General features: G+C 36.8%; 1 protein-coding gene across 13 annotated transcripts in view; it reads left to right on the top strand.

Annotated features, from left to right (window-relative positions):
- The window catches only part of C6 (complement C6), a 119,354-nt gene that overhangs the window by 31,768 nt on the left and 60,969 nt on the right, over positions 1–26,617 (top strand). For 5 of the 13 annotated variants that reach the window (XM_047417689.1, NM_001115131.4, XM_011514119.4 and 2 more), the window contains exon 2: positions 26,452–26,614. In XM_047417689.1, the coding sequence (XP_047273645.1) occupies positions 26,452–26,614 (163 nt within the window). Of the gene's footprint in view, positions 1–16,169; positions 16,327–16,618; positions 16,791–25,963; positions 26,125–26,451; positions 26,615–26,617 lie in introns of those variants that run through there. The other 8 variants (NM_000065.5, XM_011514115.4, XM_011514116.4 and 5 more) reach the window with 7 other exon arrangements.

Genomic DNA, 26,617 nt, shown 5'->3' with positions numbered 1-26,617 from the left:
CAGATTAAATGGACCTTAAAGGCATATACAAAACATTCCATCCAACAGCAACAAAATACACAGTCTTCTAAAGCACACACTGAACGTTACTGAGAATAGATCACATGTTAGGCCACAAAAAAAAGTCTTACCACATCAAAAAAGACTGAAATCAAATTGCACCATCTTTTCTGATCACAATAATATGAAACTAGAAATCAATAACAGGAGGAAAATTTGAAAATTTATAAATATGTGTAAATTAAACACAGTTCTGAACAACTGACAGGTCAAAGAAGAAATCAAAAAGAAAAGCTAAAAATATATTGACACAATGAGAGTGGTAACATAACTTACTGAAACTTATGGATGCAGCAAAAAAAAAAAAAGTTCTGAATGAAGTTTATAGAGATAAACACCTACATTAAAACAAAAAGAAGGATCACACATAAACAAACTCCACCTCAAGAAACAAGAAAAAGAAAAACTAAACTCAAACTTAGCAGAAGAAAGAAAATAACAAATATCAGAGGAGAAATAAATGAAATAGAAAATAGAAAAAAAATTAACATGATCAATAAAATTAAGAGTTGATTTTCTTTTTCTTTTTGATGGAGTCGTGCTCTGTCGCCCAAGCTGGAGTGCAGTGGCACTATCTTGGCTCACTGCAACCTCCGTCTCCCGGGTTCAAGTGATTCTTCTGCCTCAGCCTCCCAAATAAATAGCTAGGAATTCTCCCTGACTCATTCTACAATGTAAGCATTAGCCTAAGTGCAAAATCAGACAAAGACACAACAAGAAAAGAAAACTACAGGTCAATATTCCTGTGGAACATAGGTGCAAAAGCCTTCCATAAAATACCTGCAAACTGAATTCAACAGTATGTTTAAACAATCATTCACCATGATCAAGTGGGAATTATCCATGGGATGCAAGGATGATTTACCATATGGAAGTTAATAAATGTACAATAAATGTACATTAACATAAGGAAAAACAAAAACCATATTATCATCTCAATAGATGCAGAAAAAACATTTGTCAAAATTTAACATCTTTTCATGATAAAAAAGTGTCAATGAATTAGGCATATAAAGAATGTACCTCAACACAGTAAAGACCATATGTGACAAACCCACAGCTAAAATCATACTCAACAGTGAAAGATTGAAAGCTTTTTCTCAACAATTAGGAATAAGACAGAAATGCCCACTTTCTTCTTCTATTCAGTGTAGTACTGGAAGTCTTAGCCAGAGCAATTAAGCAAGAGAAAGAAATAAGATATCCAAATGGGAAAGGAAGGTAAACTGTCTCTGCTTGCAGATAACACAATCTTATATGTAGAAAACCCTAAAGACTGCACTTAAAATATTATTAGAACCAATAAACAAATTTGGTAAAGTGGCAGGATATGAAATCAACATTTAAAATATCATAGTATTTCCATACACCAATGACAAATATCCAAAAAAGAAATCAAGAAAATAATCCCATTTACAAAAGCTACCACAAAAATAAAGGAATGAAGTTAAACAAGGAGGTAAAAGAGCTGTATACTGAAAACTATATATTAATGCTGAAAAAAATGGAAGCAGACACAAGTAAATGGAAAGATATCCCATGTTATAAATTGGAAGAATTAATATTGTTAAAATGTCCATACTACCAAAATCGATCTACAGATTCAATGCAATCTGTATTAAAATCATAATGGCATTCTTCACAGAAAACAGAAAAACAAATCCTAAAACTTGTAAGGAACCAAAAATGCCTCAAATAGCAAAGTAATCTTTAGCCAAAAGAGCAAAGCTGGAGGCATCACACTACCTGACCTCAAAATACACTACAAAGTAATAGTATTTCAAACAGAATGGCACAAGCATAAAAACAAACCCATAGACCAATAGGACAAAATAGAGAACCTAGAAATAAATCCACATATTTGAGGTCAATTGATTTTCACAAAGATGCCAAGATCACACAATGGGGAAGGACAGTCTCTTAAATAAGTAGTGTTGGAAAAGATGGATATCCACATAAAAAGAAATAAATTAGACCCTTATCTCACATTGTATACAAAAATCAACTGAAAAGTTATCAAAGACACATAAGATTTGAAACTATTGGAAGAAAACTCTGAAACTATAAAACTACCGGAAGAAATCATGGGGTAAGTTCCATGACACTGGTCTGGGCAATGATTTTTTTGGATGTGACCCCAAAAGCACAGGCAACAAAAGCAAAGATAGGTAAATGAGATTACATCCAACTATAAATCTCCTGCACAGTCAAGATAACAATCAATAGAGTGAACAGACAACCTACGGAATAGGAGAAAGTATTTTCACACCATACGTCTGATGAAGAGTTTATATGCAAAATGTATTAAAAACCTCAAACAATCCAATAGCTAGAAAAAAAAACAATTAAAAAATGGGCAAAAGATCTGAACAGACATTTCTCAAAAGAAGACATACAAATGACCAACAGGAATTTGAAAAACTGCCCAACATCACTAATCATTAGGGAAATACAAATTAAAATCATCATGAGGTATCACCACACACCTGTTAAATTGACTATTACCAAAAAGATAAAAGATGACAAGTTTTGATGAGAATGTGGAGGAAAGAAAACTCTTACACACTGTTGGTAGGAATATTAATTTGTACAGACATTATAGAAAACAGTATGGAGGTTCTTCAAAGGATTAAAAATAGAAATCCATATGATCCAGCATTCTCTTTATTGAGTATACATCCAAAGGAAATAAAATTAGTATGTCAAAGAGATATCTGTACTCTTATGTTCACTGTGGCATTATTTACAATAACCAAGATATGGAATCAACCTAAGTGTCCATCGACAGATGAATGGATAAAGAAAATGTGGTGTATATACAAAAATGAATACTATTTAGCCTTAAAACATGAGGAAATCCCATCTTTTGAGGCAACATGGATGAACCTGGAGGACACTACACTAAATAAAATAAGACATGCAAAGAAAGACAAACATTGTGTGATCTCACTTATGTGGGGAATCTAAAAAAGTAGAACCCGCAGAAGCAGCAACTAGAATGGTGGTTAGCAGGGGCCGCAGGAGGGAGGTGATAGGAATGGGGGAGATGTTGTTCATGAGACATAAAATTTCAGTTAGACAGGAGGAACAAGTTCAGGAGATCTACTGTATAGCATGGAGACTATAGTTAATCACAATGTACTCTACAGTTGAAAACTGCTATTTCTCCACACCTTCTCCAGCACCTGTTGTTTCCTGACTTTTTAATGATCGCCATTCTAACTGGTGTGAGATGGTATCTCATTGTGGTTTTGATTTGCATTTCTCTGATGGCCAGTGATGATGAGCATTTTTCCATGTGTCTTCTGGCTGCATAAATGTCTTCTTTTGAGAAGTGTCTGTTCATATCCTTCGCCCACTTTTTAATGGGGTTGTTTGTTTTTGTCTTGTAAATTTGTTTGAGTTCATTGTAGATTCTGGTTATTAGCCCTTTGTCAGATGAGTAGATTGCAAAAATTTCCTCCCATTCTGTAGGTTGCCTGTTGACTCTGATGATGGTTTCTTTTGCTGTGCAGAAGCTCTTTAGTTTAATTAGATCCCATTTGTCAATTTTGGCTTTTGTTGCCATTGCTTTTGGTGTTTTAGACATGAAGTCCTTGTCCATGCCTATGTCCTGAATGGTATCACCTAGGTTTTCTTCTAGGGTTTTTATGGTTTTAGGTCTAACATTTAAGTATTTAATCCATCTTGAATTAATTTTTGTATAAGGTGTAAGGAAGGGATCCACTTTCAGCTTTCTACATATGGCTAGTCAGTTTTCCCAGCACCATTTATTAAATAGGGAATCCTTTCCCCATTGCTTGTTTTTGTCAGGTTTGTCAAAGATCAGATAGTTGTAGATATGTGGCATTATTTCTGAGGGCTCTGTTCTGTTCCATTGGTCTATATCTCTGTTTTGGTACCAGTACCATGCTGTTTTGGGAGAGGATGTGGAGAAACAGGAACACTTTTACACTGTTGGTGGGACTGTAAACTAGCTCAACCATTGTGGAAGTCAGTGTGGTGATTCCTCAGGGATCTAGAACTAGAAATACAATTTGACCCAGCCATCCCATTACTGGGTATATACCCAAAGGATTATAAATCATGCTGCTATAAAGACACATGCATTCGTATGTTTATTGCGGCACTATTCACAATAGCAAAGACTTGGAACCAACCCAAATGTCCAACAATGATAGACTGGATTAAGAAAATGTGGCACATATACACCATGGAATACTATGCAGCCGTAAAAAATGATGAGTTCATTTCCTTTGTAGGGATATGGATAAAGCTGGAAACCACCATTCTCAGCAAACTATCGCAAGGACAAAAAAAAACAAACACTGCATGTTCTCACTCATAGGTGGGAAGTGAACAATGAGAACACATGGACACAGGAAGGGGAACGTCACACACTGGGGCCTGTTGTGGGGTTGGGGGAGAGGGGAGGGATAGCATTAGGAGATATATCTAATGTTAAATGATGAGTTAATGGGTGCGGCACACCAACATGGCACATGTATACATATGTAACAAACCTGCACGTTGTGCACATGTACCCTAAAACTTAAAGTATAATTTAAAAAATGGCTAAAGGATTTGAATAGACATTTCTCAAAGGAAGACATACAAATGGCCAGTAAGCACATGAAACAAAATGCTCAACATGATTAGCCATCAAGGATACGCAAATTTCCTGTAAATGTAAATTCCCAGGGAAATGTGAAGAAAAAAAAGAAAATAACAAGTGTTGGCAAGGATGCAAAGAAATTGGAACCCTAATACCTTGCTGGTAGAAATGCAAAATGGTGCAATCGCTACAGAAAATAATTTGACAGTTCCTTAAAATGTTAAAGATAGAGCTACCATATGACCCAGCAACTCCACTCCTAGATATATATTCAGTAGAATTGAAAACATATATTCACACAAAACATGTACACAAATGTTCCCAGCAGCATTATTCATAATAGCCAAACAGAGGAAATAACACAAATGACCATCAACTGATAAATAGATAAACAAAATGTAGTATACCCATGCAACAGAGTGTTATTCAGCAATAAAAAAAAAAGGAACATACTAATACATGGTCAACATGGATGAACCTTGAAAACGCACTTAGTCAAAGAATCAGTCTCAAAAGACGACGTATTATATTATTTCAATTATATGAAATGTGAAGAATAAGGAAAACTATAGACACAGAAAGTAGATTGGTAGTGCCTAAGACTGGGGAGGAGGGATAGGGAAAAATAGGGAGTGGCTGCTAATGGGTTCAGGGTTTCTTTTGAGTGATAAAAATGTTCTAAAATTAAATTGTGGTGCTGGCTGCACATCTCTGTGAATATATTGAAGACTATTAAATTGTACACATTAAATGGGTGCATTGCATGGCAAGTGAATTACATCTCAATAAAGCTATTTTAAGAGAAAAAAAGAAAACTGCTGACAGCACATTTAGTATTCTCACCGCAAAAAACAAAATGGTAAGTATGTGAGGTAATAGATATGTTAATTAGTTTGATTCAGCCATTGCACAATGTATACATATATCAAAACATCATGTCGTGCACTTTAAATATAGACAAACATGTACAATTTTTGTCAATTAAAGAAAATTATAGTAGATTTGTTGACATTATTTCCAGATGTGATACTGTCAAACCCAAAGTAAAGAATATTCTAAACATAATTTGCTTTTATTGTTCAAAATTGTCAATATCTAGAATGACAATGAAAATTTAGGCACTGCTCTCTATATTAAAGAGATAGATATGATAACTAAATAGAACATGATCTTGGGCTGGATCCTGTACTGGAGAAGGAAAATAAAGAATATTATTGAAACATTGTTGAAATATTAACAAAATAAACCTTATATTAAATAAAAGTACGGTTTCTGTTGCCAGCTTTTCTAAATTTGATTACTATACTTGGTTTAAAAGTAGATTGCATAAATAAACTGTGAATTTCCTTCAATGACATGTATTTTTGCTATCTTTCATACATCTAAGCCTAACAGAACAGTTCTTATTAAAATAAACTGCTTCTCACCCACCTCCAACTTAACCAGTTAGAAAAGATTAAGCCAATACAATCGCACAAAAGACCAATTAAACATATTACCTGATGACAAGAAAAGGTATTTCAATTTATCCTTTACTGTGGAGTAGGGCTATGAAGGTACCATGTCCAAGCCAGCTTGAGAGTTTTGCTTGGTACCCTGGGACCTGAGATTGCCCAGACACCCAGCCTATTGTGTAATTGTTGTTCCTCATTGGTTTTCTCTTAAATTACTCCAGAGAGAAGAGCAGAAAAAGCATTTTTATTCAAGTACAGATTTATTCAACCATCTAGTCCTTGGAGAATAACGAAATCATCACAGTTTTTTTTCTCTAATTATCTGGTGCTTTCTTTGTTTCCTGCCTCCCCTGACATATATCGCCCCAGTGCCCAGTGTGGTAACAATACCTGTTAATCTCTAAATGTTAGTTATAGGAGAAACCATAGAAACCAAGCTTTTGTTTATTACAGTGGTATCTGAAGTAAGTTCAGCTCCAGGCTGAGTACAAATTTATCCCTCACAATAACATAAATTACATAATTTAGATCTGTGATCAAAACAAATTGGAAGGTTTTATTTACAATAGAAATTCCAGAGAATTTAAGCATATTTAAGTTTAAAATGGAAGAGGGGATAGGGAAAGTTTCTGGTTAAATGAACACAGTTAGGATATTAAATTTATTCCCATTTAAAAGGCTAAATGAATTTCTATTGAACGTTGTAATTAGCCATGTGGGCTTATTTCATTACTCTTTCAATACAAGAGAAAAGAAATAAAATGCTATAAACCCGAAGGACAAGGAAAATAGAGGAGATCCCACTAAACATAATATTTTAACAAAATTTGGAAAACAGAAAGTAGTAAAATACTACCTGACTCGTAAGAGCAGGGGAAGCTATATGCACAAAGGTATCAGAAATAGTAAATATATAGAGATTCATATAAATAAACTATTTTTTCTTTTAATTTCTTTGAAATAATGCAATTGTTTAAATTAACTCTTCAAACTTTTTTCCATTATTTCCCCCCAAGGAAACTTGTTAGAAACTTTACATTGTAATTGTTCATTCCTTCCTTGACATTTTTATACCCAAGATATGTTGTGCTCTTGTTTATATGTTATAGATACATCTGTGCTTTATACATTAAAATAAAAAATATAAAACTTTTCTGTTTAATGCAAACTTCAGAATGACTAAATTTTACAAGTTAAATGTAATATTTAAAAAATTAAAAAGCTATTAGCATATAACAACTTTGTAACTGCATGATTATTGCAAATTTCAATATAATTTATTTACTTATATAATTATGAAAGTTAGCAACATATATAAATACACAGTAATAGTTTTCAAAACTATTAACTTTGAGCAAAAGTAAAATAATTACAAAATTACTTTTCTTTTTTTTGTTTTTTTTTTTTGAGATGGAGTCTCTCTCTGTCGCCCAGGCAACAGAGCAATGGCATGATCTCGGCTCACTGTGACCTCTGCCTCCCGGGTTCAAGCAATTCTTCTGCCTCAGCCTCCCAAGTAACTGAGATTACAGGTGCCCGCCACCATGCCCAGCTAATTTTTGTATTTTTTAGTAGAGATAGGGTTTCACCATGTTGGTCAGGCTGGTCTCAAACTCCTGACCTGAGGTGATCCACCTGCCTTGGCCTCCCAAAGTGCTGGGATTACAGGTGTGAGCCACCACGCTGGCCAGTGAACTTAACTTTTAACTTCTGCTCAATATAAGAAAATAACTTTTAACTTAACTAGCTGCCAGATATTCATTTATATATTGTTGATACTTTTTTGTTTTCCTCACCTGTATAATGATGGATTGAATAACTTTTATAGACTTGAATAACTTTTTTGAATAACTATTGAATAATTATTCCAAATAACTATTAAAACACTGCTTTTATTTAATTCTCAAAGCCCTAGTCACACACCAAAACAATGAGGATCAAACATAAACAACATCCATAAGGTAGCCAATGGCAGCCAATAAACTTGAGTAGGCTAGGCCATTTCTAGCAATCTATTAAGGAAAGAAAGCCATCTACTTGCTGTAGCACTGATCTTATATACATTTTATGTATATTCCCTGAGCCCAATGTCAGTGCTGCTCATGGGATACCCATGAAAACGACACAGGAGAAATTAAATTCTAAAGAATGTGATTGCATCAGATAGGGTTGAGCTTTACAGGGCTATACACCATTGTAATAACTGAGAATATTTCACCAACCCCACGAACATCAATTTTCATCCTTTTGGAGGGAAATATCATCCCTGTTGAGAATGTATAGCTTAAAGCAAAAATCATGACAGTGTATTGTAGAGTTTTCATGAAAACTATAGCATAAAGGCCTGGGCTCAGGATAAATGTAATTACATGGTAGCAAGTACTATGAAATATGGAGATGAAAACCAACAACAGCAAAAAAATAAAACAGCTCTAATTTTAAAGTGACTGGTACTAGAAAGAAAACTGCAGGGCTGGGACAGGGTGGAGTAGTGGCTTTGGTTTGCTGCTTTAAGTCTTGTGTTTCTATTTTTTTTTTTAGCTACATAAATATATTAGTTTTAAAAGATAACATTTTAATGAAATATTAAAATTAAACTGCCAAGAATGTATGTTAGATGCTTGCTCTTTTTTTAAAAAATCTGTTTATACATTGGGCACACATGGACATAAAGATGAGAGCAATAGACATTGGGGCCTATTGGGTCAGGGGAGAAGGAGTAGGGAAAAGGCTGGAAAACTACCCATTGAGTATTATGATCACTACCTAAATAATGAAATCATTTGTACCCCAAACCTCAATATTACACAATATACATGTGTACCTCCTGTATCTAAAATAAAAGTTGAAATCATTTTTTAAAAAATTAGCGATCCAAAGAATGTATATAAATGACCAACAGGCACATGAAAAGAGGCCCAACATCATTAATCACTAGAGAAATGTAAATCAAAACCAAAATGAGATATGACTGCACCTCACTCATATGGTTATAGTAAAAAAGATAGGCAGTTAAAATAATTAATAAAAAATAAATCTGATTTATATAAACGCCTTCTTTCTGATTACACACAAAACGTTAGTAAGTCTGTTGAAGGAAAGTAAGCAAAACAGGATGGTTTGAGGGAGCTAGGGAATACTGGAAGATTAAAATAAAGAACAAGGTAAAACAAGTTCCACCAGAGAGCAGAAGACCTCAAATTCCTCTTCTACCATTTATTTGTTGCATTAATTTGACTAATTGCTTAAGTATCCAGAGCCTTAGATTCTCCTTTTTAAATAATACACTATCTGCATAAAAATGAGGGCTGTCCAGGGAAGGTTGGTAAGACAAAGTAGCTTTTTATCATAAAAAGAATAAACACAGCTAAATGGCCAGCCTCATTTTTGCAAGTGTTTGAAAAACATGGCAAGAAATCAGGAAACCATTTGTCTTTGTATTACACACTACCCCAGGTCAGTAGATGTTGACATTTTGTTACTGTGAGACTATTTCTTGTCATCATTAATAAAAAATACAACTATTCATCAGAGTTTGATTATTTTAAAAAATGACCACCTCAAACACTTTTCAATTTGTTCCTGTTCTTTCATTTCCCTCTTTACTTTGGCCACACTCCTGATAATATGTAGAAAGATGATTGGAAACTGCTGTCTTCCCATGCAGGATTCAATACACAGAGCATGTGATGTTAATGGGATTGTCAGGCGTTCAAGCATTTGACTGAGACAACCTTTCTCCTGGAAGAACTTTTAAAAATTGATATTTATTTGTGTGATTCATGTCTCAAAGAGTGGCCTGTTCTATCTCTCACTGCCTTTTTCTCCCTTAGATGTTAAAACTTGGAGTTGCTTACATGACAACACAGCATGTCTTTCTTTGCCTTGTAACTACGAACTTAGCTAAGATTTCAATAACCTCTGACCTGGAATTATTTCTTCCTTCTTTTCTTCATGCTTTAGGTATTGCCCTGTGCCCAGAGGATTATATCACTGCTATCATTAGTTTTTCAGTAGTTTCCCACAACCTCAGAACTCAGAATAACAATTTTCCCTCAAAGCACTTTGTCAGAGTTATTTCAAGGACTTCACATGTCCCTTCATTGCTTGCATTGCCTCATTTATTAGCTACTTACACCCCAGAGAACAAAGGGCGCTCAATACAGCCCTCCCAAAGCTCTCTCAACAGCTTTATCTGACCACAGAATGGCCTTTCTTTCTCAGTCTCCCCACTTCCATCCTACAGACAAATCTAGATGACCCTACCTAAAAGAAGAGGTCCAGATTTGGAAGCATGATTTCCAGCTTCCTTTTTCTATACCACCCTAGGAGGTAAAGAATCTTAGTAAATATTCAACTAATTTATTAATTTCTACATTTGCTGGAGATTGTGTGACATAATTGTGCATCAGGCTCAGGGCTGGCATCAGGCTCAGGGCTGGCATCAGCCAGCACACATGGCTTGAATAAACTGGACAGCATCCATTCTGATTAAGCAGTGCCACTTGTGAAATTGTTGGAGTATCTTTTTTGAAATTGTTTGCAATTGTTTGAAAATCATAAAATACATCCTAGTTAGGATAACTTCCTTGCAAGTAACAAAAATGTATTCAAAGTATAGTTTACTAGAAGGAAAAGGTGGGCCTTATGAAACACAAGAGAAGGAAGTGCAGCTGAGTTTCACAGGGACAGTATTTATATTCTCTAAGGCCACATGTTCTCACATGTACATTTTTTCCAGTCCTTACCTCATTCTTTTTTCTCTCTACAGAGGCATTCTCTTCTTCTCCCTGCATGCGGCTTAAGCAAGCTTCACACTGTGTTTAAATAGTATTTCTAAGTCCCACTCCCCAACCCTGGCACATGAAATCCGAATGACCCATACCCAATCCTGGCCTATCACTTTGTCCAAGGGGCAGAATCATGAGATCTGAAACCAGCTCAGTGGGTCCTACAGGATTAAATTTTGTGAGATCGGGCTGGACAGATTTTCTTCAAGAAAGCATAGACCCAGGAAAAAAAGAGGCAGAAAGAATGACCTGCATTTTAAGAAGACACAATAGTTGGATAAACATTAAAGAAATATTTCTTAAAAACCATATAATTCATTTATTTATTTTGTTTTCTCTCTCCTGTCTTTATGGAGATTGTAAATTTTACAAAGGCAGGATTTTTTTTTCTGTTTTGTTTACTGTTCAAGTGCCTAGAACAGTTCCTTGCAGTAAATTTTTGCAAAATTCGTGAATAAAAACCTTTGGATAATGACAACAGTGGTAATTACAGTGAATATGATGAAAAGATAAGAGAATACGTGACTGCATAAACAAGGGAAGTTACGATTTCTGTGAATAGACGGATTTCTTATAATTTTTAGTACTTCTTGACGTTCTTTTTCTTTCCTATCCAACTACTATTACTATGAGGTGAAGTTCTTGAAAGAACTAACCGAAAGTATTCATCTTTGTATCTTAAGTCCCAGCATAATGCCTGGTATATAATCAGTAAATATTTGTGAATTGAGTGAAATGGATGAATCAAGATACTGTTCCTCCTATGGCACTTTGAAGAGTGCTTTGCAAACCATAAAATGCTACCAAAACATTAGATTGTGATTTTCATTGTAGTAGTGCTTTAGAAAAAATACCTTAGTAATGTATTCAAGATGTTTGGGACAACAGGAGGACAAGAAACAAACTAGAAAGCTGACCCAAGAGTCTAGGTACAATTCATCTGACTTCAATAGGCTTTTTTTTTCTGCCTTTTCCCACAAAGCTCTAAATTGGAATCCAACCTAAGTTTCTGTATAATCCTAGAAGGGGCAAAACTTGGCAGAAGTTTGGCTTTATTGTCTCAAACTAGATTTCTATTACTATGTTAGACCAGTTTTAGATTTGGAGACTAAATTGTAGCTCATTTTCTTTCCATTCCAAAGAATCACCAAAGAGTTTATTCCATTTAATATCATCATTATGCATTGTTCAACAACTCAACAAACACATAAATAAAAGCAATTCTTGGAGCATTTTGCTATATGAAAGATTGTTACCTCTTATTGCCAAACACATGAGAATCTACATAGTGGAATTTAGCTAAGGGCACATTTGTAGAGGCGTATTCAGCAATTTTCTCACAAACTCTTTGTGTGTAGACAACTCAATTCAATCAACATTGATTTAACTTTTATGTTTATCAAATATAAAGATAAATATTATTCAGGCTCAGTATAAAGGAACTTTGAATCTATTAAGTGGACTAAGAGTGGGCAATAATAAAGCACACAATGATCATAATATCCGGCAATAGTAAGTGAGTTCCATATGAAAGGTAAAAAGAGATTCATATGTTTAAAGGGTGGAGGAATCATGTAGCATCTGATCTAAAGTGTGAAAATGATTGTGAAATGTAGAAAAAATTTAAGAAGGAAATACATTTGGAATGGCCCCCAAAGAAGAGGTACACAATACACTACATTTGTGATTGGGGAAGAAAAAGTTTCAAGGGAAAAAATATAATGGCAAGAGAAACCATAGGCCATTTTGAGGATCAGCAAGTTATCCAATTTGGCTAGATGGTGGACTATGCAAAATGAAGGAGAGAAAATGAGTCTAAAGGGTAATATGGAATAAAATTGCTCAAGGTTTCCAATATTAGGGACTGGGACTCTGTAGCTAATTTCGTGGTTTCCTTAAAAGAATAACACTGAGATTTTGAATAGGGTTGTGCTACTGAGAGGTGAACTCTAGAGTATCCTTGCAGAGTAGATTAGAAGAAATTACAGGAGGAGTTCTAAAGCTCAGAGACCAGCTAAGCCACTGATGCAATCTTCAAGGTATGGTTTCATAATGGCTGGAAGTGGAACTGTAGCCATAGACATGATGGCAAGGTGGAAAAATGAGGAATGCATAGAAGAGATACTTCAAAGATAAAAGCTAAATAAAAGATAAAATTGCCTCATGTATTTAGCATCTAAAAGGATAGGAGGAGTCAGGGAGTGAGGATGTGATCTCTGTGATATGATGTTTCTATTATCTGTCTGAACATTAGAATACTAAGACAGGTGGACTAGGAAGCAATCAATACAAAGGTGATCAATAACCCCATGGAAGTAGATGAAATCTCAAATGAAAGAAAAGGGGTGAGGATAAAATCCTAGATGGGTGTAGGAAGAGAATCATAGAGGAAGGCAGAAGAGGAATTTCCTAAGTGTTCAGAGAAACACATGTATTATATTTTGTCCAGGAAGCCAATAGTGGATTTAGAAGAGGTCATTCAGTTTGGCAATTAGGAGGTTAATGGTGGTCATTGAGAGAATAGTTGGTGTAGGCTGGTTGTATTTATCACATAGATTTCAAAGAGTGAAGTGAATGAGGAGTAGATGGCAAAACATCAAATGCAGTCAATTTAGACTATCTTTCTAATAATTTTAGTAGGAAAGAGAAGACACAAAGAGTGTGGAAGCCTGAGGTCCAAAATACCTTCTGTTTCCTCCATATTTGAGAGTTTTGATCTATGATCCCCCAATTGAAATAGTTCAATCTGCCATTTCACTTTATCTACTCACATATTGACTGACAAAGCACACTCTGAAGAGTTTTTGAAATAGATGGGGTCATTAGCCTTGGCTCTAATAAGAAATTATAGTACTTTTGCTATAATGATAAGTTGGCATGTGAATACTTAGCATGTGAAAAAGCCTTCAGATAGCAGCTTCCATTGTTCATTATTTTATATTTGTGGTTATTTTCTTGGCAGAAAATACCATTTGGCTATGAATCTATTATCATTAAAAGAGGAATAATGGTTTTTAACAGAATACATATTCTCCTTCTGGTAAAATGATAATTGCTCCATCTTAACTCTCCATGTCCTGGCCCTCATTTTCTCCTGCACCCTTCTGTTTTTTTACAATTATATGCTTTCTACTGGTCAGTCAATAGCAACTATCTACCTTATGAAAATAGGAGATTTTGTGTGAGAAGGTCTTCTGTGTTACCAGCCAAAACTTCAGAAGGCCTGCAGTTGCTGAAGCAACTCAGCCAGTGCCAGTAAACTTCATAGCAGACTTTGTTTTTCAGCAGCACACATCTAAATATTGTTTAGAGAACACCTATATTCTTTGCATGCACAGAGTCAGACCTGAGCACAACTGCACACAAGTATTCAATTCCTAGCTCTGAAACAATCACCTACTCATCAGTCCCAATTAGCCTACTTCTACTTCCCAAAGCCACTGGACACTTTGTTGTATGTATCAGACCAGAAATATTTCTCTCTGGGTTGCAACTTTTCCTATAAGGGCCAGACGGTAAATATTTTAGGCTTTTCAGGCTGGAGAGCCTCTGTTGCCAGCTTCTTAACTCTACCATTGTAGCACAAAAGCAACCATAAACAATGGCCAATTGTGTGACTTTATTCCTATAAAACGTTATTTACAAAAACGGGCATCAGGCTAGTTTACCAATCCCTGCTCTAGAAAAAGGACTCATGAGTGAGATATGTCATTTAACCTTCCAAAAGAACCCAAGATGGAGAACCCAAATACATTGTTGAAAAGATTCTAGATTCTTAGTTGGTGCTGGGTCAATTCTAGTGTTTGGATCACAGACATTCGCATTCCATCTCAAGGATTTCCCCTTACCATCCTTAACTCTCTCCACCTGTGTTTTTCCAGTGCCACAGCATACAATCTTACTTCTCTGTCCTCTTCATAGCCCACATTACAAATAAAGTCCTCTTTAAGCTCATCCTACTGGCACCTAACTTTGCATCTCTCTGTATTATGACTTCCAGTATTTGCCTTTAGCTCCAAACACCTTGAACTCAGGACAAATGAATTTTATTTTAGGACCTCAAAGACCAATTAAAGAAAGAAATATGCAAATTAAATGACATATATTCTTGTCCAATCACCAAATATTTCTTTTCCTGTTTATCTTCTCAGGTAATCAAGGGTGAAGCTGCTATCCCAGCCCCAAACTAGCTTCAACACTGGTCTGCAGCACACCACTCTACTTTCTCTTTAGGCCCAAATTTCAATCTTTAAAATCTCAATGTAGTATAAGAGAGAGAAAAAAGACTGGAAATCAGATCATCTGTATTCCAGTTCTGACTTACTCTGGCCTTGGGAAAGTTACTACCATGTATATTAAACTATGTGACCTTTGAGTGGTGGGTTCCCAGCTGTGTTTCAAGTAATCTTTAGACTTGCTGAGATCATCATTTCCCACCATGTGATAAAAATCTAAGCTGTCTAAGGAATATTTGTTTTAGTTGTTTTCTACTGCTTTGAAAAAAGTTTGAAAAACACTTGTTTTACAAATGAGGGACCAGTGTTCCAATGAGGTATAGTGATTTATTGAAGCTCACATAGCTGGTAGCTGCTTAGTGCAGAAACAAGACTAGAATATGTATCCACATTCTCAGTCCCTATAGTTTTTTTTCTTTTCTATTGCACTATTTTGTTCTGCTTCACCTTAGGATGAAATCCATTTTACTTCAATCTAAAGTTAAATTGCAACCATTTCAGAGAAGCGTAATCATCATTACATATAAAGAGCCCATTTGATCATTGCTATTTTAATTCTTTCCAAATTAAATTTTCTGTTTGGTTTTGCTGGCATATAGAAACACTTTTTACTATAATAAACTTGTGTTGATAAATCATACTAAATTCATTTATTAATTCTAATGTTTGTAGATTCTTTTGAATTTTCTACATACACAATCACATTGTCTCCAAAAACATTTCTTAAATAGTTACCAATAACTATTCTATAATCAAAAACTAAGAATCTATACATTCCTAAGGGGGGCAGCAATTTTAAGCAATTAATCTAAAGGATTCTTTAAAATGGAAAGAGAGATTTCTATGCAGTAGCAATAGCTACTACAATAGCCCTTGAATTGAAAACTCACTGAAAATTCAGGACTCTGTGTAACATCCAACACCCAGAGTTTCAGGGTTACTACTGATTGGTGTAATCATTTGCAAAGTTCAAGTTCCAGAGAACATTTATTTTGACAACCCTCTAGGTGTTGCTAGGCTTCTGGGATATGACAGCATTGCCTTGTGTTAGCTAGCAATAAGAAAAGAAGCTTTGTTTGGATTAACATATATACCCTCTTCATTCTGCATACCTATTTTTTCCCCAATAATTTGCAGCTTAGGTCCGAGGACACCACAAACTCTGCTTAAAGGTGAGTAATATGATGATTTCATTTTCAATCTTAATATTTCAAAATTGTTAATCATGTTTCCAACAAAATTACAATTTCATGCATAAAAATATGTAACTCAGACTATAACCATTTCTTTGTCTTTCTTTTTTATAATTGCTTTGTTTAAATCTGAAAAGAACCAGAGGTCATGTTTTTTAAACAAATGTCATTCCAGAGGACATTTGAGATCAAGTTTCTCTATGAGTTAAATTAGTTAAAAGTAAAGCAAACATACTCTTTAGCCAAGGTCAGTCATGCACCTGGACTACCCAGCTTACCTTGGCGATAGTAAAGGTAGAAAGATAGAAAGGCTCATTTCTTGAGCCTCTGGGCATGCACAGAAAAAAATAATAAGAAATAAGAAATTCAGTAAGTTTACATGGAGATGTAAAGGAAGAACCTATAGCTGGGGATAAACTAGAGCATCCTCAGAAATCTGTTGGGTAAGATATGCTGAACTGCCTTGCAGACAAATGGTTCATGTGAGTAAAATACATTAGAAAGTGACAGGTTAGAATAAGATGGGCTTCATTTTAATTGAAATTCTCTAAATGCTCATAAAGCTATCATCAATGGTTCAATGGGATCACTGATTTTTGGAAAACTCAAGAGGGGATGGCAACTATGAGAAAACTGAAGAATTTCTGCTTTTCTACGATGGCACTGAAGTGGAAGACTTTTTTCCTATCTTCCTCTATTGACCGAACATTCTTTTATTCTATGTTTGTATGAAAATTGTACAGTAATGGGTAAAATGCCTGTGTGTAATTTTAGATACCTCCAGAATGCCTAGAGATGTGGAAATTAATAAATAAGAAACCATATAATACAATATGCTAGGCCATCATAACAAAAAAATTCAGAGAAGTAATTATTTTTATTTGATTAAAAATTGTTGCTGGGCTTGGTGGCTCACGCTTGTAATCCCAGCACTTTGGGAGGCCGAGGCAGGTGAATCACAAGGTCAGGAGTTCAAGACGAGCCTGACCAAAATGGTGAAACCCCGAGTTCACTAAAAATACAAAAATTAGCTGGGTGTGGTGGCAGGGGCCTGTAATCCCAGCTACTCGGGAGGCTGAGGCAGAGAATTGCTTGAACCCAGGAGGCTGAGTTTATAGTGAGCTGAGATCCTGCCACTGCAGTCCAGCCTGGGTGAAAGAATGAAACTCTGTCTCAAAAAAATAAATAAATAAAAATAAAATTGTTTTAACATAAAACAATTTGTATTCCTAATAATAGAATATTAAAAAAGAAAAGCTACCAATTAGCTCTTTCATTAGTACCTCATCAAATAAGTTTTAATGTTACCATCTTAATTTATATCAGGCTCCATATTGCCTCAGAACAGTTATAGCTTAAAGAGCGATCAGAATATTTTATAAGGGTTCTGTTTTTGCAGTTTTTGATGATAATTGGAATAAAACTCACCCATACCTTTCAAGCTTTTGGAAGTTAAAAGACAGTGTCTGCTGAGAACTGAGAATTAGTAATCTCTTGCAATTTAACTTCTCCAAATTATTTACATGAAAATTTCACCAGAAGCTTTAAGAATTTGTTTTCTCTACAATTGAGGAAATATTCTGGAAGATATCTGTCTTGTCCAACATCTAATAAGAAAAAAAAACAACAACAAAGTATCTATTTAGTTTTTCTTGCTGAAAAGGTCCCTGTATGAGAAAATTCCAATTTTGGCAGTGGGGGGCAAGGGTGAAGGGTATAGGGGAGTGGCTTCTCTAGTCTATCTAGTGGTTGAAAGGAAAGCTTCACATTATTTGGGAGCCTCAGCTCCCAAATGTTTGGGACTCACATTATATGTCTGATCACGACTTAAATTCTATCTGGCTACTATTGTCCCAATACCCTGTGGTTCTGTGTTGCTGAGGAAAACCAGGAAAGGCGAGTTACTTACCGACGAACTAGAATCAGCTTGCAAGTGGAGTGGGAAAAAAAGCCCCTCATTTTTTTTTATTATACTTTAAGTTCTAGGGTACATGTGCACAACGTGAAGGTTTGTTACATATGTATACATATGCCATGTTGGTGTACTGCACCCATTAACTCGTCATTTAGCATTAGGTATATGTCCTAATGCTATGCCTCTCCCCTACCCCCACCCCACTACAGGCCCCGGTGTATGATGTTCACCACCCTGTGTCCAAGTGTTCTCATTGTTCAATTCCCACCTATAAGTGAGAACATTCAGTGTTTGGTTTTCTGTCCTTGTGATAGTTTGCTCAAAATGATGGTTTCCAACTTCATCCATGTCCCTACAAAGGATATGAACTCATCATTTTTTATGGCTACATAGTATTCCATGGTGTATATGTGCCACATTTTCTTAATCCAGTCTATCATTGATGGACATTTGGGTTGGTTCCAAGTTTTTGCTATTGTGAATAGTGCCACAATAAACATATGTATGTATGTGTCTTTATAGCAGCATGATTTATAATCCTTTGGGTAGATACCCAGTAACAGGATGGCTGGGTCAAATGGTATTTCTAGTTCTAGATCCTGGAGGAATCACCACACTGCCTTCCACAATGGTTGAACTAGTTTACAGTCCCACCAACAGTGTAAAATGTTCCTATTTCTCCACATCCTCTCCAGCACCTGTTGTTTCCTCACTTTTTAATGATCGCCATTCTAACTGGTGTGAGATGGTATCTCACTGTGGTTTTGATCTGCATTTCTCTGATGGCCAGCGATGATGAGCATTTTTTTCATATCTCTGTTGGCTGCATAAATGTCTTCTTTTGAGAAGACATTTCTCAAATGTCAAGGGTCTGTTCATATCCTTTGCCCACTTTTTGATGGGGTTGTTTGATTTTTTCTTGTAAATTTGTTTGAGTTCTTTGTAGATTCTGGATATTAGCCCTTTGTCGGATGGGTAGATTGCAAAAATTTTCTCCCATTCTGTAGGTTGCCTGTTCACTCTGATGGTAGTTTCTTTGGCTGAGCAGAAGCTCTTTAGTTTAATTAGATCCCATTTGTCAATTTTGGCTTTTGTTGCCATTGCTTTTGGTGTTTTAGTCATGAAGTCCTTGCCCATGCCTATGTCCTGAATGGTATTGCCTAGGTTTTCTTCTAGGGTTTTTATGGTTTTAGGTCTAGCATTTAAGTCTTTAATCCATCTTGAATTAATTTTTGTATAAGGTGCAAGGAAGGGATCCAGTTTCAGCTTTCTACATATGGCTAGCCAGTTTTCCCAACACCATTTATTAAATAAAGAATCCTTTCCCCATTGCTTGTTTTTGTCAGATTTGTCAAAGATCAGATGGCTGTAGACGTGTGGTATTATTTCTGAGGGCTCTGTTCTGTTCCATTGGTCTATATCTCTGTTTTGGTACCAGTACCATGCTGTTTTGGTTACTGTAGCCTTGTAATATAGTTTGAAGTCAGGTAGCAAGATGCCTCCAGCTTTGTTCTTTTGGCTTAGGATTGTCTTGGCAATGCAGGCTCTTTTTTGGTACCATATGAACCTTAAAGTAGTTTTTACCAATTCTGTGAAGAAAGTCATTTGTAGCTTGATGGGGATGGCATTGAATCTATAAATTACCTTGAGCAGTATGGCCATTTTCACGATATTGATTCTTCCTACACATGAGCATGGAATGTTCTTCCATTTGTTTGTGTCCTCTTTTATTTCATTGAGCAGTGGTTTGTAGTTCTCCTTGAAGAGGTCCTTCACATCCCTTGTAAGTTGGATTCCTAGGTATTTCATTCTCTTTGAAGCAATTGTGAATGGGAGTTTACCATGATTTGGCTCTCTGTCTATTATGGGTATATAGGAATGTCTGTGATTTTTGCACATTGATTTTGTATCCTGAGACTTTGCTGAAGTTGCTTATCAGCTTAAGGAGATTTTGGACTGAGATGATGAGATTTTCTAAATATACAATCATGTCATCTGCAAACAGGGACAATTTCATTCCCTCTTTTCCTAATTGAATACCCTTTATTTCTTTCTCCTGCCTGATTGCCCTGGCCAGAACTTCCAACACTATGTTGAATAGGGGTGGTGAAAGAGGGAATCCTTGTCTTGTGCCAGTTTTCAAAGGGAATGCTTCCAGTTTTTACTCATTCGGTATGATACTGGCTGTGGGTTTGTCATAAATAGCTCTTATTATTTTGAGATACATCCCATCAATACCTAGTTTATTGAGAGTTTTTAGCATGAAGTGCTGTTGAATTTTGTCGAAGGCCTTTTCTGCATCTATTGAGATAATCATGTGGTTTTTGTCGTTGGTTCTGTTTTTATGATGGATTACATTTATTGATTTGGGTAAGTTAAACAGACTTGCATCCCAGGGGTGAAGCCAACCTGATTGTGGTGGATAAGCTTTTTGATGTGCTGCTGGATTCAGTTTGCCAGTATTTTATTGAGGATTTTTGCATCGATGTTCATCAGGGATATTGGTCTAAAATTCTCTTTTTTCGTTGTGTCTCTGCCAGGCTTTGGTATCAGGATGATGCTGGCCTCATAAAATGAGTTAGGGAGGATTCCCTCTTTTTCTATTGATTGGAATAGTTTCAGAAGGAATGGTACCAGCTCCTCCTTGTACCTCTGGTAGAATTCGGCTGTGAATCCATCTGGTCCTGGACTTTTTTTGGTTGGTAAGCTATTAATTATTGCCTCAATTTCAGAGCCTGTTATTGGTTTATTCAGGGATTCAACTTCTTCCTGGTTTTGTCTTGAGAGGTTGTATGTGTTCAGGAATTTATCCATTTCTTCTAGATTTTCTAGTTTATTTGTGTAGAGGTGTTTATAGTATTTTCTGATGGTAGTTTGTATTTCTGTGGGATCGGTGGTGATATCCCCTTTATCATTTTTTATTGTGTCTATTTCATTCTTCTCTCTTTTCTTCTTTATTAGTCTTGCTGGTGGTCTATCAGTTTTGTCAATCTTTTCAAAAAACCAGCTCCTGGATTCATTTATTTTTTGAAGGGTTTTTTGTGTTTCTATGTCCTTCAGTTCTGCTCTGATCTTAGTTATTTCTTGCCTTCTGCTAGCTTTTGAATGTGTTTGCTCTTGCTTCTCTAGGTCTTTTAATTGTGATGTTAGGGTGTCAATTTTGGATCTTTCCTGCTTTCTCTTGTGGGCATTTAGTGCTATAAATTTCCCTCTACACACTGCTTTAAATGTGTCCCAGAGATTCTGGTATGTTATGTCTTTGTTCTCATTGGTTTCAAAGAACATCTTTATTTCTGGCTTCATTTCGTTATGTACCCAGTAGTCATTCAAGAGCAGGTTGTTCAGTTTCCATGTAGTTGAGCGTTTTGAGTTTCTTAACCCTGAGTTCTAGTTTGATTGCACTGTGATGTGAGAGACAGTTTGTTGTAATTTCTGTTCTACATTTGCGGAGGAGTGCTTTACTTCCAACTCTGTGGTCAATTTTGGAATAAGTGCTAAGTGGTGCTGAGAAGAATATATATTCTGTTGATTTGGGGTGGAGAGTTCTGGAGATGTCTATTAGGTCCGCTTGGTGCAGAGCTGAGTTCAATTCCTGGATATCCTTGTTAACTTTCTGTCTTGTTGATCTGTCTCATGTTGACAGTGGGGTTTTAAAATCTCCCATTATTATTGTGTGGGAGTCTAAGTCTCTTTGTAGATCTCTAAGGACTGGCTTTATGAATCTGAGTGCTCCTATATTGGGTGCGTATATATTTAGGATAGTTAGCTCTTCTTTTTGAATTCATCCCTTTACCATTATGTAATGGCCTTCTTTGTCTCTTTTGATCTTTGTTGGTTTAAAGTCTGTTTTATCAGAGACTAGGATCGCAACACCTGCCTTTTTTTGTTTTCCATTTGCTTGGTAGATCTTCCTCTATCCCTTTATTTTGAGCCTATGTGTGTCTCTGCACATGAGATGGGTCTCCTGAATACAGCACGCTGATGGGTCTTGACTCTTTATCCAATTTGCCAGTCTATGTCTTTTAATTGGGGCATTTAGCCCATTTACATTTAAGGTTAATATTGTTATGTGTGAATTTGAACCCGTCATTATGATGTTAGCTGGTTATTTTTCCCATTAGTTAATGCAGTTTCTTCCTAGCATTGATGGTCTTTACAATTTGGCATGTTTTTGCAGTGGCTGGTACCAGTTTTTCCTTTCTATGTTTAGTGCTTCCTTCAGGAGCTCTTGTAAGGCAGGCCTGGTGGTGACAAAAATCTCTGAGCATTTCCTTGTCTGTAAAGTATTTTATTTCTCCTTCACTTATGAAGCTTAGTTTGGCTGGATACGAAATTCTGGGTTGAAAATTCTTTTCTTTAAGAATGTTGTATATTGGCCCCTACTCTCTTCTGGCTTGTAGAGTTTCTGCTGAGAGAACTGCTTTTAGTCTGATGGGCTTCCCTTTGTGGGTAACCCGACCTTTCTCTCTGGCTGCCCTTAACATTTTTTCCTTCATTTCAACTTTGGTGTATCTGACAATTATGTGTCTTAGAGTTGCTCTTCTCAAGGAGCATCTTTGTGGCATTCTCTGCATTTCCTGAATTTGAATGTTGGCCTGCCTTTCTAGGTTGGGGAAGTTCTCCTGGATAATATCCTGCAGAGTGTTTTCCAACTCGGTTCCACTCGCCCTGTCACTTTCAGGTACACCAATCAGACGTAGATTTGGTCTTTTCACATAGTCCCATATTTCTTGGAGGCTTCGTTCATTTCTTTTTACTCTTTTTTCTCTAAACTTCTCTTCTCACTTCATTTCATTCATTTGATCTTCAATCACTGAAACCCTTTCTTCCATGTGATTGAATTGGCTACTGAAGCTTGTGCATGCGTCATGTAGTTCTTGTGCCATGGTTTTCAGCTCCATCAGGTCATTTAAGGTCTTCTCTATGCTGTTTATTCTAGTTAGCCATTTGTCTAATCTTTTTTCAAGGTTTTTAGCCTCTTTGCAATGGGTTCAAACATCCTCCTTTAGCTCAGAGAAGTCTGTTATTACCAATCGTCTGAAGCCTTCTTCTCTCAGCTGGTCAAAGTCATTCTCCGTTCAGCTTTGTTCCTTTACATGCAAGGAGCTGCGTTCCTTTGGAGGAGAAGAGGTGCTCTGATTTTTAGAATTTTCAGCTTTTCTGCTCTGGTTTCTCCCCATCTTTGTGGTTTTATCTACCTTTGGTCTTTGATGATGGTGACGTACAGATGGGGTTTTGGTGTGGATGTCCTTTATGTTTGTTAGTTTTCCTTCTAACAGTCAGGACCCTCAGGTGTAGGTCTGTTGGAGTTTGCTGGAGGTCCACTCCTGACCCTGTTTGCCTGTGTATTACCAGCGGAGGCTGTAGAACAGCCCACACTGCAGAACGGCAAATGTTGCTGCCTGATCCTTCCTCTGGAAGCTTCGTCTCAGAGGGGCACCCAGCTGTATGAGGTGTCAGTCGGCCCGTACTGGGAGGTGTTTCCCAGTTAGGCTACTCGGGGGTCAGGGACCCACTTGAGGAGGCAGTCTGTCCATTCTCAGATCTCAAACTCCGTGCTGGGAGACCACTACTCTCTTCAAGGCTGTCAGACAGGGACGTTGAAGTCTGTAGAAGTTTCTGCTGCCTTTTGTTCAGCTATGCCTGCCCCCAGAGGTGGAGTCTACAGAGGCAGGCAGGCCTCCTTGAGCTGTGGTGGGCTCCACCAGGTTCGAGATTCCCAGCTGCTTTGTTTACCTACTCAAGCCTCAGCAAAGGCGGGCACCCCTCCGCCAGCCTCCCTGTGCCTTGCAGTTTGATCTCAGACTGCTGTGCTAGCTGTGAGAGAGGCTCTGCGGGTGTGGGACTCTCCGAGCCAGGTGCGGGATATAATCTCCTGGTGTGCCATTTGCTAAGACCATTGGAAATGTGCCTCATTAGGGTGGGAGTGTCCCGATTTTCCAGGTACTGTCTGTAATGGCTTCCCTTGGCTAGGAAAGGGAATTCCCCGACCCCTTGCACATCCCAGGTGAGGCGATGTCCCGCCCTTCTTCAGCTCACACTCCATGGACTGCGCCCACTGTCCGACAAGCCCCAGTGAGATGAACCCAGTACCTCAGTTGGAAATGCAGAAATCACCCATCTTCTGTGTCTCTCACACTAGGAGCTGTAGACTGGAACTTTTCCTATTCAGCCATCTTGAATAATGCCCAAAAGCCCCTCATTTTTATGACTGAAATAATCTAGGACTCTAGCAGCATATCTATGAGTTGGAGTAAAAAGCTTGGGTAAAAAGCATAGGTAGTATTTTCAATTTCTTTCTACCCTCCCAGACAGTGATAAAGGCTTCTATTTCTTTGTGTCTCATTCAATGCCTAGCAGCATACAATGAATACCCAAATGTGTGTTCATTCCATTTTAAATTGAAAGACATATTCAGCCATACGTCAATGGATTTGGTTACTTTTATTCTGGCATTTTTCTTTGAGCTTGTAGAAGAGTTTAAAAAGCTTACTGATAATCCCAGCACTTTGGGAGGCCGAGGTGGGCTGATCACGAGGTCAGGAGATCGAGACCACCCTGGCTAACGCAGTGAAACCCCGTCTCTACTAAAAATTCAAAAAATTAGCTGGATGTGGTGGTGAGCACCTGTAGTCCCACCTCCTCAGGAGGCTGAGGCAGGAGAATGGCATGAACCCGGGAGGCAGAGCTTGCAGTGAGCCGAGATCACACCACTGCACTCTAGCCTGGGTGACAGAGTGAGACTCCATCTCAAAAAAAAAAAAAAAAAGAAAAAAAAAAGCTTACTGATTTATTAACAAGAAATACCCTAGTTTCTGAACATACTGAAAAAACAATTTTTATATCTGATCTCAAGCTCTTGACTTAAACCAAGATTTATCAAATGATGAACCCCATTTATTTTTACTGAGGTATCCTTTCATGAAAACTAAGAAACGTAAACTAATCACGTAGAAATATAATCAGAAACTCATCCTCTGGGACATGAGAGAGCCATATTTTAGCAGGGCAATTTGGAAATATCTATTAAAAATGTGTGACCAACAGCTACTATTAAATTTGTAACATTCTTAAAAGTTATTACTAATTTGAAAAGCTAGTATTTATTAAGTGATGATTCTATGCCAATAATTGTTCTAAGCAGTTTACATGAACCTTCTTACTGAATCCTAACAAAAGCTTTATGAGGTAGGTATTACTCTTATTTTATAGATAGTGAAACTGAGACAGAAAAATTAGGCGAATGGCATTTAACTTTTTAAAGTAAAAGTTACTACTATATTAATTACAGCAGAATTATTGATATGTATGCATATATTAATAATGTTGCATGTTTCATTAGGGATATAACGATTAAACTGGCAATAACGGGGTGGGTATGGTTTTGCAAATAACTCATGGATCTTCAAGACCATAAGTGGGAACCACTGGTCAAAGATTTTTCCGCTCAACCTGTTGTGGCCTGAGTGGTGGAGCTCCAGGCATCTTGATACTGCAGTAACACAGTACTTAGGATTGTTAGAAACTCAGTGAAGGGCTTCACCTCATTCAAGAACCAGGGTTTGTGAGCTCCTACTTGACCTGCAGCCTCAACACTATTGCACTGCCTTGAGCCTCATTTTATCTCCATAAAATGAAGGAGTTTGACCTGGAGGTTTCAAAGATCCTTACTAGCTCTTATTTCTCTGACTTTATATGGAGTCAGTGAACGTTCTCTTTAGCAGGTTTCCAGCATGTCAGGAAATGAAAAAGAGCTTCCAGAAGAATGATCCAAACTTCTTTCCCAGTCCCAGAAAAGTAGGAACAGCTGAAATGTACTTGAGGCTATTGCTCACACAAAAGGAGCAGGTGTTTTGAGAAGGGTAAGACTGTATAAATCTAAAATACTTTTTGGAATGAAATGGATTACAAATACATGCTACATACTTTGTCTTGTAGCCTATCACTAACCGTTTGAAGAAACTTACTAGTACTGGAGGTTGTGCCTATGGTAATCTCCACCCTAAAAATCTTTAAAAATAGGATTTGTACTCACGAGCATGTGAATTTGTAGGTGTTGACTTGCCTTAAGGAAGGCAGAAAAATGCAAATATTTTCTAAAATCACATTTGAATCTCTGACTCAGGATGACTTGTGAAGGTTTACCTCAAAAAAGCATTTGATATGTGTTATGTATTCTTTCATTTTAGGGCCTGGAGGCTCTCAAGGCATGGCCAGACGCTCTGTCTTGTACTTCATCCTGCTGAATGCTCTGATCAACAAGGGCCAAGCCTGCTTCTGTGATCACTATGCATGGACTCAGTGGACCAGCTGCTCAAAAACTTGCAATTCTGGAACCCAGAGCAGACACAGGTG

Source organism: Homo sapiens, chromosome 5, assembly GCF_000001405.40.
Source record: "Homo sapiens chromosome 5, GRCh38.p14 Primary Assembly".
In the NCBI taxonomy this organism is placed as follows: Eukaryota; Metazoa; Chordata; class Mammalia; order Primates; family Hominidae; genus Homo; species Homo sapiens.
Note: the sequence above shows the minus strand (reverse complement) of the source record. Positions and strands in the feature narration are given on the sequence as shown.